The 13,956-nt window shown below is 61.3% G+C and overlaps 1 protein-coding gene across 8 annotated transcripts in view, besides 2 other annotated features; it reads right to left on the bottom strand.

Annotated features, from left to right (window-relative positions):
* SLC12A7 (solute carrier family 12 member 7) overlaps nucleotides 1-13,956 on the bottom strand; it is a 105,516-nt gene that overhangs the window by 56,809 nt on the left and 34,751 nt on the right. For 5 of the 8 annotated variants that reach the window (XR_007058571.1, XR_007058570.1, XR_007058569.1 and 2 more), the window contains exon 1: nucleotides 4,676-4,871. The exons of 1 other annotated variant lie outside the window; for it this stretch is intronic. Coding sequence is in view for 2 of the 7 variants with exons in the window: in NM_006598.3 (NP_006589.2) it covers nucleotides 4,676-4,799 (124 nt within the window). In the remaining 5 variants the exon portion in view is untranslated. Of the gene's footprint in view, nucleotides 1-301; nucleotides 794-3,327; nucleotides 3,410-4,675; nucleotides 4,872-13,956 lie in introns of those variants that run through there. 2 more of the 8 variants (XM_047416640.1, XM_017008958.2) reach the window with 2 other exon arrangements.
* Nucleotides 10,224-10,757: an enhancer, noted in NCBI's record as "H3K27ac hESC enhancer chr5:1117531-1118064 (GRCh37/hg19 assembly coordinates)". NCBI's record gives its function as "activates a minimal SCP1, AML or CMV promoter by ChIP-STARR-seq in naive H9 embryonic stem cells {active_cell/tissue: H9 hESC(naive)}" and the evidence as "EXISTENCE:reporter gene assay evidence [ECO:0000049][PMID:30033119]".
* Nucleotides 11,828-12,361: an enhancer, noted in NCBI's record as "H3K27ac-H3K4me1 hESC enhancer chr5:1119135-1119668 (GRCh37/hg19 assembly coordinates)". NCBI's record gives its function as "activates a minimal SCP1, AML or CMV promoter by ChIP-STARR-seq in naive H9 embryonic stem cells {active_cell/tissue: H9 hESC(naive)}" and the evidence as "EXISTENCE:reporter gene assay evidence [ECO:0000049][PMID:30033119]".

Consider the following 13,956-nt stretch of genomic DNA (forward strand, 5'->3'; position numbering starts at 1 on the left):
CCTTCTTTGAGAAGAAAAGCCGGACCACAGGAGTTCCCCGTGGTTCTGTGTTAGGCGTAGCCTTAACCTCGGCAAATAAACCTCTCAAGTGATTGAGGCCCACCTGGGTCGCTTTCTGTGCTTTACAAAGGCCACCCATCCCCCATGCAGGAGCCTGGGCCATCTGGGAATCCCTGGGTCAGGTCCAGGGAGCTGTGTAGGACGTGGCCCCACGTCCAAAGGGCAGAGGCCCTGACAGAGGTGGCCTCACTCCACGGCCCACTCACTGCCGGGCATGAGGGGAGGACAGCCCCCAACTCACCCTCAGGGTCCCTCAGGTGCCTCTGCTTGACTCCAGCCACCACCTGGCAAGGTCTCCGACATTCACCGATCCCCAGCAAACCTGTGTGACTTCGGCCCCGACCAGCCGCCCTGCACCCAGGCCTGAGCACCTGGCCCTCCCCTTGGCACCACCTTCCCGACAGCCATCCAGACCACGGGAGAGGCACTGAGAAAGCCACGCACTCTAAGAAGGGGATCTGGTGTCCAACGCTAGACAGAAAACCACCGTGGAATCCGTTTGGCCTCGCCCACTCAGAGAAGCCTGGGGAGCTTTGCAGAAGAGGAAACCATGAACCTGAGTCCACGAGGCAAAGGTCTCCTCATATGATCAGAGGCCCAGGAGCAGGTTCAGACCTGAACACGAGGCCACACCAGGAGAGGGAGCCCCTCACCACTCACTGATGGGCCTAGACCAGGGGGAGGGAACGGATACCCAACACCCAACACCGCGTGACCCTCTGCTGTGGAGGAAGCCCCAGCCCCTCTCTACCTGCCACAGCATACAAACACACACATACACACACACACGTGAGCATGCCCACAGCACACAGCTGTGCAAGAGCACAGTACACATGTATGCACACGTGTGTACATATATGTGCACATATACACAGTGCAAGCACATGGCTCACACGTGGATACACCTGCACGCTCACAAGGCACATAGGTGCCCGCACACATGGACCCGGCCAGCTGACCTAAAGCACCATGCTTTACCGCATGCCTGCTAAGGAGAGCCTCTTGCCGGGAGACAGCCTGGGAGTATGTCAGGCGCAGGAGGAAGCACAGGCCCCGGCCTGGATGCCCAGCAGCCACGGCGTTCCTGTGTATCTTGTTTCCTTTGGTTTTAAAAAGGGAACTCGATACACAAAATGCATGTCTTGTAGCCTCCCTGCCTGCTCACCACATACCCATGACCTTCCGTTCCCGCAACGCAGTGCCCAGCTGCTGCAGGGGCTCCCGGGCACAGCCGCGGGGTCAACAGCCTGCCTGTCCCTCCTGCTCCGACTGCCTCCCATGTCCGTGTCGGGAACGCCCTCCTGAAATCTGGGCACAACGAGAGCTCTCTGTCCCTACTCGGCAGGACAGAACCTGGACGCTCTGTGTGTGGTCCCCCTATCTAATGCGTGATCCCCCAAGTCCCTGCATCCCCAAAGGGGACCCCAGATCAGCACGACCGGCGTGCACCGTCTCGCCATTCCCAAGGGCAGTGCAGAGCATGGCACCCAGCACCCGACAGGCGAGGACGGCCCAGGACAAAGCGGCAGCTCTAGCTGTCCTCAGATTTTGGGAGGGGGCTCCCAACACGGACACGGTAGGTAGTTGGAGCAGGAGGGACGGGCAGGCCACTGACCACGCAACCGGGCCTCTGTCAGCGGCCAGGGGCAGAGGGAGGCAGGACCGCCCCTGGACAACCGACACGAGCTCAGCCACAGTGGAAAATCTCAGAAACGGAACCCAAAGAGGGAAGTGGCGCCCAAGCCAGGAAGAAGCTCCCGGCAAACCTGGGAGAGCCCCAGCTGAGGGTGGGAGACCTGGGGGTACAAGGCAGGACCCACCCTCTCCCAGCCCAGGGAGCCCCAGACGAGTGGAAGTCCCTCCTAGACAGTGGGTGGCCAGGGCCTGTGGGACCTTGACAGAGGCTCTGCACGCTGCACCTTCCAGACAGGCCGGGGCACTGGCCAGCCCTCCTTTCCCACCCCTCCCAGGGTCTCCGAGGCCTCTGGACGCACCCCTACAACCTGGGAAGGAGTGAGTCTACCCTGATGTGGTCACGGAGGAAGGGTGGGCTCCCCCAAGTCAGTTACAAAACCCACTCTACCCTGAAGTCGGACGAGACGCAGCCGGCCCCCAGCAGTGTCCTCCCACCTCCTACTCTCAAAAAACCACCCCACTGAGAAACTGAGGGTTAACACGTCCTTCTCATTTCAAGACGAGGTATTTCACATAAGAATAAAAGCTCCGTCCCAAGAAGTGCTGAGGGCACAGTGCCCATCCCCGGGACAGGACGCCTCCCGCAGAGGCTCCACCAGAAGCAGCAGGGAAGCTGCAGGGGTCGGGGACAGAAGGCCCCTGGAGCCAGGCTGGGCAGACGCGGCCTTGCTGGGCTCTGGGTCGAGCCAGGCAGCCCGGGCAGCAGCATCTACCCCTCTTTCCCCAGAACCCCCCAACCCAGGCTGGGGACACCAAGGCCCCTGCTCCTCAAGTTGGGGTGGCTCAGGACGCCCTCTCCACGCCCACCTGGCAGTGCCTAGGATCAGCCCACCAGGCCCCCCAAACTTGCTTCGCCGTCACCCAGGCGCCAGCCCAGAAGCTCCAGTACCTCCACAGACCGTTCAGGGGAACGGCAATGGAGTCAGGAAGAGCTTGGGTGCTGGTAACTCTGTGGCCGGACAGTTTTGGACCTGGCCTGTGACCTTGTGGTGTGGACCCCACACAGAAGGCCTTTGGGAGGGGCTCCGGCTTCTGCAGGACCCCCGCCCCCAACCACCACCAAAAAGCAAAGCCTGTGCCTCCTTCCCCAGGCTCCGTGCCCATCACGGGACTCCTCGCCGCACCTCTGTGGGCTGAAGATCAGGATGTGATCAAGTGGATTCCGAAGGGCAGCTGCGTGCCCGTTACAGCCTGGCAGTGGCTGGGCACCGGGCCCTTTCTGTGGAAGTAGGAAGCGGGTCCAGCACAAAAGCGCCAGGTGCAAGTTCTCTGCCAGTTCGGAGAAATCTCCCAAGTTCAGCTCACACCACAGGGCCACCCTCAAAAGTGTCCAGAAGCCCACACCTGGCCCATGCCCTCCCGTTCTCAATTTCATGAAGGCCAGGGAGCCTCCTGACACGCCCGTAGCAGGACCTGAGTGCGCGGGCAGCGACATGGGCAGCGCTCAGCCAGGGCCACTTCCTGCTGGGCAGACACAGGCCCAGGGCACTGCTCAACAGCCTTGAGAGTAGAAGAGACAAGAAAACGAACAAGCACAAAATTCTCTCTGGCTTAAAAGCAAATGACACTTACAGTCTAAAGACAAAAGTGAACCTGATCAGCCTTGAGAAGGGGCCGGCCAGACAAGAAGAGGCTCCTTCTGAGTGCGTTCCGGGGGCGTTGCTACAAAGCTCACACAGAAAGACCACGCCAGGGCCCACACTCCTTGGTGCTTCCTGCCTCCACGGTGGTGACTGGAGAGAAGGGGCTTGGACTCACGGACCCTGCTTAGTTAGCACTTCACCTGGTGTTGAGCCTGGCGCCCCGCCTGACCACTTCCAAGATCTGGGCTGGCCTCTGTGCAGAGGAAGCTGAGACCACTCTTCGCCCGCCACGGGGACCCTGATGACGCACCCCAGGCCACCAGGCCACTGCCTTCACGGTGGGTCCCCACCCGTGTCTCCGGGTTCCTAAACTGCCTGGAGGGGATGTCTGGCCTTTCCTGCCCGGGATGGTGGGTTAGGAAGGATCTGGGGTCTGGCACCGGACTTGTCCCTGGACAGACCTCACCTTCCTTCCACTGCCAGGGAGCAGGGAGGCTGCCACCCACTGCATGAGACCCGGGCACATGCGGGCACTGCCAGCACGCGGGGTGGGGGCTGGACTGAGTCCGGACACCTTCTCAGAGACTCCGGATGGAAGGGCCTAAGAGCCTCCGGTTTCTAGAGGGGGCTGAGATCCGGGGAGTAACTGGGATTTGGAGCCAGGATGGAGGGAACAGGGCTGGGGGATTCTCTCCCCAGCCCCGTCCCCACCCCCTAGAGAAAGTGAAAGTGCTAGAAACCTCCAGATTCCCGGAACGGGGGACGGGAACACGGAGGACGCGGCCTGAGCAAGGCCCCGGTGGCTGCCCCCTCCCCAGCCAGGGCGCAGTCCTTCCTGTTCCGCCTCTGGGGGGTGGGCGGCTCCTCCAGGGTCAGGCGGGGGCAGGACGGGCCGGCCCGGGCTAGTGTTACCGGACGGCCGCGGCGCAGGGGAAGGGAGAGCGCGGGGGACGCAGGACGCCCCGGCTCCCGAACCGCCCGGGTCTCCACCGCCACCCCTGTCCCACTAGGGACCACCCAGGGGCCCGGGCTCCCTCCGGAGGCGCGCTCCAGCCCCTCCCCGTTTCCATGGCTACCAGCAGCGGCGTCCACACCTCTGCCCCCGGTCCCACCCGAGCTGACCGTACCGGGAGCCCTGGCAGGGCCCCTCGCCCCCTAGCGCTGCCACTAACGTGGGGTGGGGGCCCTCGTGGGGGACCGAGAACAGGCGGTGGGGGCGCGGGAAGGGGCGCCTCCTGTACCCCCGGCCCCGCCGCCCGCCTCCGCTCCCGGATGCCGGGCCCAGACCCGCGCTCGGGGCGCTCGGCCTTTGTCCGGCCAGGTGCGGCCGCGCTCACCCGGGCTGGGGCGCTCGGGCTCGGGGCCCTCGGGGGTGCCCGGAGCCTCCGTCCGCTCGGCAGTCTCGTCCCCGCCGCCGTCGGCGTGAGCCTCCACGGGCACCACGGTGAAGTTGGTGGGCATGGCCGCCTGCAGCCGACAGTCCCCGTCCCGGCCCGGCCCGCGCTGCGCCGCTCCCGCCGACGCCACGGGACTTGGAGGCAGGGGCGGGGTCCGACCGAGCCGCCCCGCCCCGCCCGGGCCACGTGACTTCACCTGCTTGCCCCGCGGCCCCACGAAAAGTTGGCCCGCGGCGACTTCCTGCAGGGACCCCAACCCAGGCTGCGTCTGTCTGACCGCCGCGACCCGGGACGCGGGGCTTTCGCTGCCTGCGCTCCCGACCATCGCAGAGCCCGCGAATCCCCGCTCAGTCTCCTGCACCCCCTCCTGCTCCAGCCCCCTGCCCCTCCTGCTGGAACTCCCCGCCCTCCCCGCCCTCCCCGGCCCCCTCCCCGCCTCCCCTCTTGTCCCCTTCCCCGACCCCCCACTCCTGCTCCAGCCCCCTGCCCCTCCTGCACGCCCTTCTGCTGGAACCCCTCACCCCTCCTGCACCCCCCCACCCTTCCTGCACCCCCTCCTGCTGGGCCCCCCTGCCCCTATGAACCCCCTCCTGCTGGAACCCCTGCCCTTTCTGCACCCCCTCCTGCTGGGCCCCTCCTCCTTCTGCGCCCCCTCCCGCACCCCCTCCTGTTTGCCCCCCATTTCCTGCTCCAGCCCCCTACCCCTCCTTCTTCCCCCTCCTGTTCCCCCCTGCCATCCTCCAGCACCCACCTCCCACACAGTCCGCCCACCCACTCCAGGCTGTCAACACCCGCTCAGACCCTGGGCTCCTAGCCTGGCTCCTGGCTAGCCCAACCTGGCTGCAAAGGCAACTCCAGTGGAAGGAGCCTTGGATAGCCTGGGGGTGGGGTACTCCGGAGCTTGGTCCAGCTCCAGTTTAGGGACCTAACCCAGTAGAGGGAGTCCCCCCCCCCACCCATGACAAATACCACCCACGAAGACCCCAGTCTCCTCCACACCTGCCCCAGGAGTGCCCCGCGGCCCCTGCCCTAGAACCCTCCCTTCCCTCCTTGGGAAATGTTCCAGAAGCTCACAGGGTGATGCAGGGAAGGTGGAGTTCCAGAACCCACCAGGCAGACACCAGGATACCACCGGCCAGCACCTGGCACATTTCTCAACAAATGACTCATGAAAAACGGAACAATCAGATGTCCGTCAATGGGGAATTGGGCTAAAATGCTATGGCACACAGGTGCAATGAGTCAGCCTTTATTCCTAATCACCCACAACTGCTGTACGACAACAAAGCAGAAACACAGGTGGTGTGGGCAAACACGGCCACAGCCTCTTGTCACGTGGAAAATGGGTATGGCCTGGCCATGTTTTAGCCGCTTGCCTGTCTAATCCTAAAAGGCAGCTGGAGGGGAGTGATGGCCTCCGGGCTGTGGGATCACCGGGCTCTGTGGGTTCAAGGAACGCAAGCCCAACCTCTCCAGCCATTTCCAGTAAAGCCAGTCATGCCCTGGGGTGGCCTAGGGTTCTACCCCTTTGCCCCATGGACTCTTCTGGGCAGAAGCTGTAGGCCTGGGACCCTCCTGGAACGTCGCCCATCCAGCACCAGCCCTTGCAGAGGTGGGGGTTCCTCTGGCCTGGGTGTCTGGAGCTGTGCCTGCTCCACACTCTCACCCCACCTCCCACCAAAGGGAGCTCAGGGCTGTGGATGGTGCTAGGTCAGCTGCCTCCCTGGGTCAGTGGGTTGGAAGGTAGGAAACCATCACCTCCCCAGAAGATAAAATAGTTCCCAGGCATCCTTATGAGGAGGGCTGGCTTTGCTAAAAAGATCCAGGGGGTGGGAACAGAAGTGCCCAATGGGGTCAATTATAGGGTTCACACTTAGGGTGCTGGGTAAACCCTCTCCTCAGTCACCCCAGCAGGGGCTTCTGTACATTCAACCCTGGTTGCCACCCAGCGCTATTCCCGAGGGTTGGACAGAGCTCAGGGTGGGCACGAGGCCTTCCCAAGTGATGCCAGCAGGAGCAACAGATGTGCAGGGCTCCCGTCGCACATCCAAGCTCTGCTTCACACCCCAGGACCCCAGGGCCGGCTGCCCGCCATGTGCTGGCTGTGGACCTTCAGAGGAGCTGGTTTGGAGGGTCTGTGGCCAGGGCCAGCTCCCGGACTCAGGACTCATCAGCTTCATTTTACAGAGGAGGAAACTGAGGCCCAGGAGTTTAGGGTCCTGTGGCAGCTCCGAGGGTGGTCTTCTCTGTGATTACAAAATCTTGACTAGGACCAGGGGCCATGGCTGAAGCACCTGGGTGGGTGCCCAGCCCTGCCAGGCAGAAGGCAGGTGGCTTCTCTTGTTTAAATCTTAGATCTTACTTGTGGGAGACCTCGGGTGGGGGGTGAGGTCTGCTGCCTTTTGCATTCTAATCAGGTGAGTCACGACAGGGATCAGCACCCTGTAAGCACCTGCGGGTCAAGACAGAGACCCTTGCCGGAGCCCAGAAGCCGCTGCAGGCCCCTCCCATCCCATCAGTAGCCCATCCCTAGGGGTCTGGTGGCCCCTCCCTTCGCTCTGTGGGTTTCCGTGTCCACGTATATCCTCCCACACGGCAGCCTGGGGTTAAATGTGCGTTGTGTGACTTTCAGTGCTCTCTTCCTACCCACCTCCATCCCTCTGTCCTTTTCTGTACCCGGCACCTGTTGTAGGAAGTGGCCCTCGGACACGTGGAGGTACCCGAGGCCTGGGTTGGAGCTGCATCTTTCGGTGCAGGCCTCTGCGTCTCCTGGAAGTGGGCACCTGGAGCCAGGGGACTGCTGGGATCCGGGTCCAGTCCCCTGGCAAGGCCGGGGGCTCGCAGAGGGAGCCACGCACTGTCTGGTGGTAGCTCCTCCGTCCGCAGTCGTTGGTGCTTGATGTCTGAATCGACAGATTCATGGAGCAAAATGGTGATTTTCCAGTGCGTGGTGGCTTCGTCATGAATTCACTGGAGGGAGAGGCTCATCTTGTCCGTCTGGCCATCTGGATAATGGTGCCCACAGGAAAGGCAGGGCAAGGGTGCCTCTCCCTCATTTGTCAGTTTCCACAACGGTGAATTGGTTCCCGACAATCTCCCAAGTATATTTGTACATCGCTGATGAAACACATTGGTGGGTCTCAGTCGATCACCATTAGTGCCCTTTCCAAGCATCGGTGTCCAGCTTTGCCCAGGGGGCCTCTTCAAATGCAATCTCGCATCCTTATGATGTGAGCCTGGTCATCTGCGATGGCCTCTTGGCCGTGTGCAGGGCACAGCCAGGGGAACCCTGGGATTTAGTGCGAAAGTGTAGCCGATGGTGGTTACATTCTGTGTGTAGATTCTCGAAACAGTCCCTGCTGCCTGCCACCCTGGGGTGGAGTTTCTAATGGATTAGGACGGACACCCAATGCCAGCTTCCAAGCCAGGAGGCCGCTCGTGCCCACGGCTTGGAATCAGGGCTGTGGCCTGGGAGGGCTCTCACCAGACGCAGGCTGCCTCCAGGTATCTGTGTGCCTCTGCCCACGGAGCTTCTCCCCAGGTCCGCGGGTCCCCCCAGTCCACTTCTGCTTTCCTGTTAGGGTGGGGGGCTCATCTCCTGGTGCGCCATCTGCATCCTTCTGGGCTGGGAACCTGCTGTCGGGTATCAGGCAGGGCGCACCTCCAGGGCTGAAGGATGCAGGTGGGGCTGGCAGGCAGAGTGTCCGTGGAGAGCTCCGTGTCCAGGGAAGGGGACACCTGGAGGAGGCCGGCCCTGGAGGCCCCACACTCCTTCTCACCAGAAAGCCACCCGCCTTCTGCCTGGCAGGGCCGGGCACCCACCCAGGTTCTTGCCTGTTGGCCCAGCACCCATGGTGAGTGGGGGAGAGAGCGAATAGGGCAGAGCAGAAGAGAGAGGGGAGGAAGGAGAATCGGGGGAAGGGGGAGGGAAAGGAAAGAGGTGGGAAGGGAGGAGAGGGAAGGGAGGCCCCAGTTACCCAAGGCTAAAGTGATTTTTAAAAAACAAACCTTTTTTTTTTTAAGCGTGGTGAGCCTCTCCTGGCAGGGTGGGGTATGTGGACATCAGTGGAGGAAGCAGAGTCTCCGGCCACCTGTGGGACCCACACTCTCCCTGCCCAGGAGTCCCACCAGGGCCGAGAATTCTGCCCATGGCCAGGGTGGCCCTAAAGCCCCACATCCGCCACCACCTGTGGGGGCTCGAAGGGAGCTGTGGTAGGCAGGGATGACAGAAGACCCCAGCCACAGCCCCAGGCCCATGGCTGCATCTCCCCTGAAGAAGCAGCCCTGTCCCAAGGGTTCTGCAAACAATGCCAGGCTCTTCCCAGGCAGGCACCGCAAGCTGCCCCCCGCCCCGATCCCTGGCTTGCCCAGGGCGGGGCCTCTGGGCCTGGTGGATGGTGGGCCTGGCCTGGCGCTGGGGAGCCTGTCTGCACAGTGGCCAGGTACGTGGGGTTCTGAGCCTCCCCCGGGTCCTGTGCCTGCTGGGCAGGGGTACATCCCATGGAGCTGAATCTGGGAATAGAAGGGGCCTCCCCTCCCACAGAGCTCGTCTCAGACCATCTGTGTCTGAGACTGTAAGTGACGCCAACAGAAGGTCAAGCTTGAGCGACAAAGCTCTCAGTCCTGTAATTCACGGACACTGAGTCTTCGCTCAAGTTCCCTCTGGAAGATTCCGTGGATGAGTCCGACACACTCTTCCCCTCACTCAGGAGGCTCCAGGATTTTTAGACCACGTGTGTGGCTTTCCTTCTCTCAAAGTGTAACTCACATAATGTTACTCAGAATCTCACACGGACGCCCGTGAGTTGCAGACACAGGGAAGGTTCGCATCTCCTCTGAAGTCCAAGCTGCCCAGAAGCCCACCCACCCCCCGCCAGCTCTCGTTCCTGCTCCACAGGTGACTTCTTTCCCGTGAAGCTTGGGCAAATGTTTGCTGTCGGCTCAGGGGGAAAGGCCATGCCAGGGTCCAGATGGGCTCAAAACCTCCCAACCTGGCAGACACGCAGCCCTTCAGAAATGGAAGCAGAGCCCAGGACACGATGTGGCCAATCCTCTCTCAGACGTCATAAAGAGCTGGGTTTGGAAGACGAGGCCAACCCTCATGGATGCCGCCCCCGACCCCAGCAACACCATGAGATCAGGGATTTGCTGGCTCTGTCTCAGAGCCGCGGAGGGTCCTGCTCAAACCCCAGAGCCGTGGGGATGGGCTGGGGGGCTGGTGGGGAGCGTACTGCGAGGGGCCACTGAGCAGGCTGGGGTGAGCTGGGCCTGGCCTGCGGGGGTGGGGGTGCAGCCTTCGCTGGGGAGGCAGCCAGGGAAGGGGTTCCTACCAGCCCGAGATGGAGCAACGAAGCAACTAGTGAAGCCAAGTTTGCAAAATTATCACCGTTGGTGGAAGGGTTCCGACCTGACTCCATCTTGGTTCTGACCTCCAAGCTGTCCTTGTTCCTTCCTGGGCGTAGGCTGAACTAACTTTGGGAGGAACTTAGTTTATAGTTAAAATAAACCTCCTTCTTGCCTGAGGGCTAGACTGCCTTTGTAGGATTAACAAATTAGCCACAAGATTAAAGAAATTGTGGTTTAGGAGTCATGCAGCTGGAGGCTACAAGATTCTGACCCTCCCTAAACTGCTCCTAAAATCCATGCTTGAGATGTTTTGCGGATCCTTGTTGCGCTAGATGGATCAGCTGGCACCACTCAGACCAATAGACTGGCTCATCTGATCTTGTGACCCCCACCAGGAACAGACTCCGCACAAAAGGACAGCTTCAATTCCCTATGAGTTCATCTCTGACCTGACCAATCAGCACTCCTGGCTCACTGGCTTCCTCACCCACTAAGCTGTCCTTAAAAACTGATCCCTGCCGGGCGCGGTAGCTCACGCCTGTAGTCCCAGCACTTTAGAAGGCTGAGGTGGGTGGATCACGAGGTCAGGAGATCGAGACCATCCTGGCTAACACGGTGAAACCCCGTCTCTACTAAAAATACACACAAAAACATTAGCCGGTCATGGTGGCAGGTGCCTGAAGTCCCAGCTACTCGGGAGGCTGAGGCAGGAGAATGGCGTGAACCCGGGAGGCGGAGCTTGCAGTGAGCTGAGAGCACGCCACTGCACTCCAGCCTGGGGGATAGAGTGAGACTCTGTCTCAAAAAAAGAAAAAAAGAACTGATCCCAAATGTGTGGGGAGACTGATTTCAGTAATAATAAAACTCCGGTCTCCCACACAGCCAGCTCTGCGTGAATCCCTCTTTCCCTATTGCGATTCCCCTGATTTGAGTGACAGTAAAACTCCGGTCTCCTGCACAGCCAGCTCTGCGTGAGTCATTCTTTCTCCCCTGTAATTCCCCTGTCTTGATCCATCAGCTCTGTCTGGGCAGCAGGCAAGGTGAACCCATTGGGCGGTTACATGAGGGGGAGTCCATGGGCCTCAGCCCCTTGAACAGAGAGATAAGAAGATCCCACACTGGGAAACGTTTCAGTGCAATCTGAGAACATCGTGGGCAGGCCTGGCAGCCATCCAGACCCGGCAGAAGAGTCTTCCTGGCAGCAGCGCCAGGGATTCTCCAAAAACAGGTGTGACCCAGACTCGCGCCCTCGCCAGACACAGATGAGCTGTTGGCCAAATGCGAAGGCCGCCAAAGCCGTCCTTGGGCGTGAAAGGTCTTGGGAAGTTTCCCCTTTCTAGACCGGGGGATGCCTCTTGCCAGGAAATTCGAATGAGTCCAGGAGGAAGGAGAAAGCCTGGACCTGACGTAGGCCTCAGAGAGCCTGGTCTCACCCATTTCTAATGGAACCCATTAAAAATCAGACAGTGTGGGGGACCCAGACAACAGTAAACAGCTGTGCTCATAACATCAAATGTGCTGGCCCCGCAGCCTTGCAGGTACCAAGGTTGTTTCTGGTGGCTTCTTCCAAGGCTGTGGGAGGTGTGGGCGTGTCTCGCTGAACTTCTGGGCCGGCTGGCGGGAGAGGCAGAGCTGGCGCTGACATCAGCCTCCCGGCGGGAGGGGCTCACAACCCACACTGAGCACCCAGAGCCAGACCTCCCCAGAGGAATGTTCTGGGGGAGAGGGAGGGGCACAGACGACTGCTCCCGAAAGGAGGGCCCTGCCTCGTTTTGTGGCCCCGCATCTGGTGTGCTCACCCTCAGTCTGCAGCAGCTCGAAGCCCTCCTGATGAGAGCCGACACAGGCAGGGGCCAGAGTCGCTTTTGCAGCGCTGGAAGGCTGAGTTCTGCCATCAGCTTTGCATTTTACAGCTTTCTGCTGGGATCAGAGAAGCACCTGCACAACCTCCCCTGCGTTTTCTAAACATTCAGCTGGGAACCTGGACTGCAAAGCCCGGCCTCAGTTACCGCCACTTTTTCCCAGAGCCCTTTTGGGGTGAGTTTTCTGGACTTGCTCATCAGGGCCAGCACTCGTTAAAGGTGAGGACCCCGTGATCCCACCCCGCACAGCAGTACCCAGACACCCGCTAGGGCCCCAGCTCCCAGGGGACGCCGCAGGCACGCACACATCCCTGCCCGGGTGACGCCGAGGTTACACAAGCCCTTTGGAAAGCTCTGGTGCTGCCTTGGCTGCACCATGACCCCCTCCAGCTGTGTGCGGCCGGCTCGCCGCCCATGGTGCTGTGGTCCTGGTTGGGCGGTGAGGTTCAGCCCTGACCGTCGGGCAGCGACCGTTTCAGGAAGCACGGGAACAACGGACTTTGAGCCACCTTCCTCTCCCCAGCACCCTTTCAGCCACCCCGTGCCAGGCTCCCCACCCACACAGCCCCATCCCAGGCACGCGGTGGCTCTGGAGGGCTGCATGTCAGGGTGCAGACCAGAACACGCCCGATTCCTTCCAGGCAATGGACAAATGGGGTCCACCGGCGCTGTCCTGTGATGGGCAGGCTGGGGGGCGGTGCCCAGCTTTGGGCCCTGTAGCCTCAGGCCTCCCCTCAGGCCACCTGCCCCCTGTGGCTGCTTCTGCCTCCCCGCAAAAATCCAGTCTGAGCTGGCTGAAGGCGCACAGGTGTCACCATGGCCCAGGCAGCTGGGACCCCCCCATAGGTCAACAGCCTGTCATTGGGGTCACTCAAGGGCCTTTCTGCCCAGCTGGCAGGGCCTGACCAGGTCCCCTGAATTTCACCCCCAGAGTGCAGTGGATCCCCCTGGGGCTGAGGGGACCCTCCACGGCCCCAAAGCCAGAGAGCACAGATTGACACTCAGAATCATGGCTGCAGACCCTGCCACAGCCCCAAACATGCTCTTCATAAGAGAAAGGCTGACAAAGTGGTCTTCACTAAAATGACACACTTCTCTTTCTCAGAAGACGCTCTCAAGGGCAGGGGAGCAAGCCCGGGTGCAGCTGGGTGGGCACCTGCCGTCCACAGGGCCCCCCCACCGGCAGTGTCCGGATCACACGAAGACGGCTTACAGACCAGCAAGGAAACGCTGAACCCGGAGGACAAGAGGGCAAAGACTTGAACTAACATGGAGGAGCACGTGGAGATGCCACCTCGCCGGGGGACGCGCGCCGTCGGCAGTGTGCCGGGGACACCACGGTGTGCTGGCCAGATGCTCACAGCCGCTGTACCTCCCCACACAACTGGAGGTCCGTGGAATGCACGGCCACTGTGGAAAACTCCAGACACGCCTCCATCACCACCCAGAAACCCCACTCTCAACAGAAACACACAGACACTAAGCAAAAGACACACAAAGGCCTTCCTGGGAGCCCAGACTGGACACAGCCCACATTCCCATCAGCAGGGCAGTGGGCGACGGGCCACAGATGGCGTGTCCCTTCAGGGAGTGTCTACCACACACGCCAGGGATGATCTCGCACGTGGGCTGCAGGGCAGGAGGAGGTCGGCATGATGCTGTCTACGTGAAGCTCAAGGGCAGGCAGGACTCACCCTGGGGTGCACACCAGCACAGACGGCAGTCCCTGTGCAGCAGAGACGGCTTCCAGGGCTTGGAACGGCCACGCTTCGACGCGAAGGGCTCCTGGGCCTGCCCGAGCTCGGAGCTCACCCGGCAAAGATTTAAGATGTGTGCTGCTCCCTGGGTGCCAGCTGCACCTCACTCAGAGGAAATAAGAGTGGCTCAGAGCATGTGCTGCACGGTAGACTCGGTGCATCCTGACCTTGACACTGAGTCCACCCAACCCTCCTGCTGCCCGCCACCGTTCCCCAAGCTGCCTCCTGCACGTCCCCGCATCCCTCATCTTGCAGG

The sequence above is a fragment of the Homo sapiens genome, chromosome 5 (genome assembly GCF_000001405.40).
Source record: "Homo sapiens chromosome 5, GRCh38.p14 Primary Assembly".
Classification (NCBI taxonomy): Eukaryota; Metazoa; Chordata; class Mammalia; order Primates; family Hominidae; genus Homo; species Homo sapiens.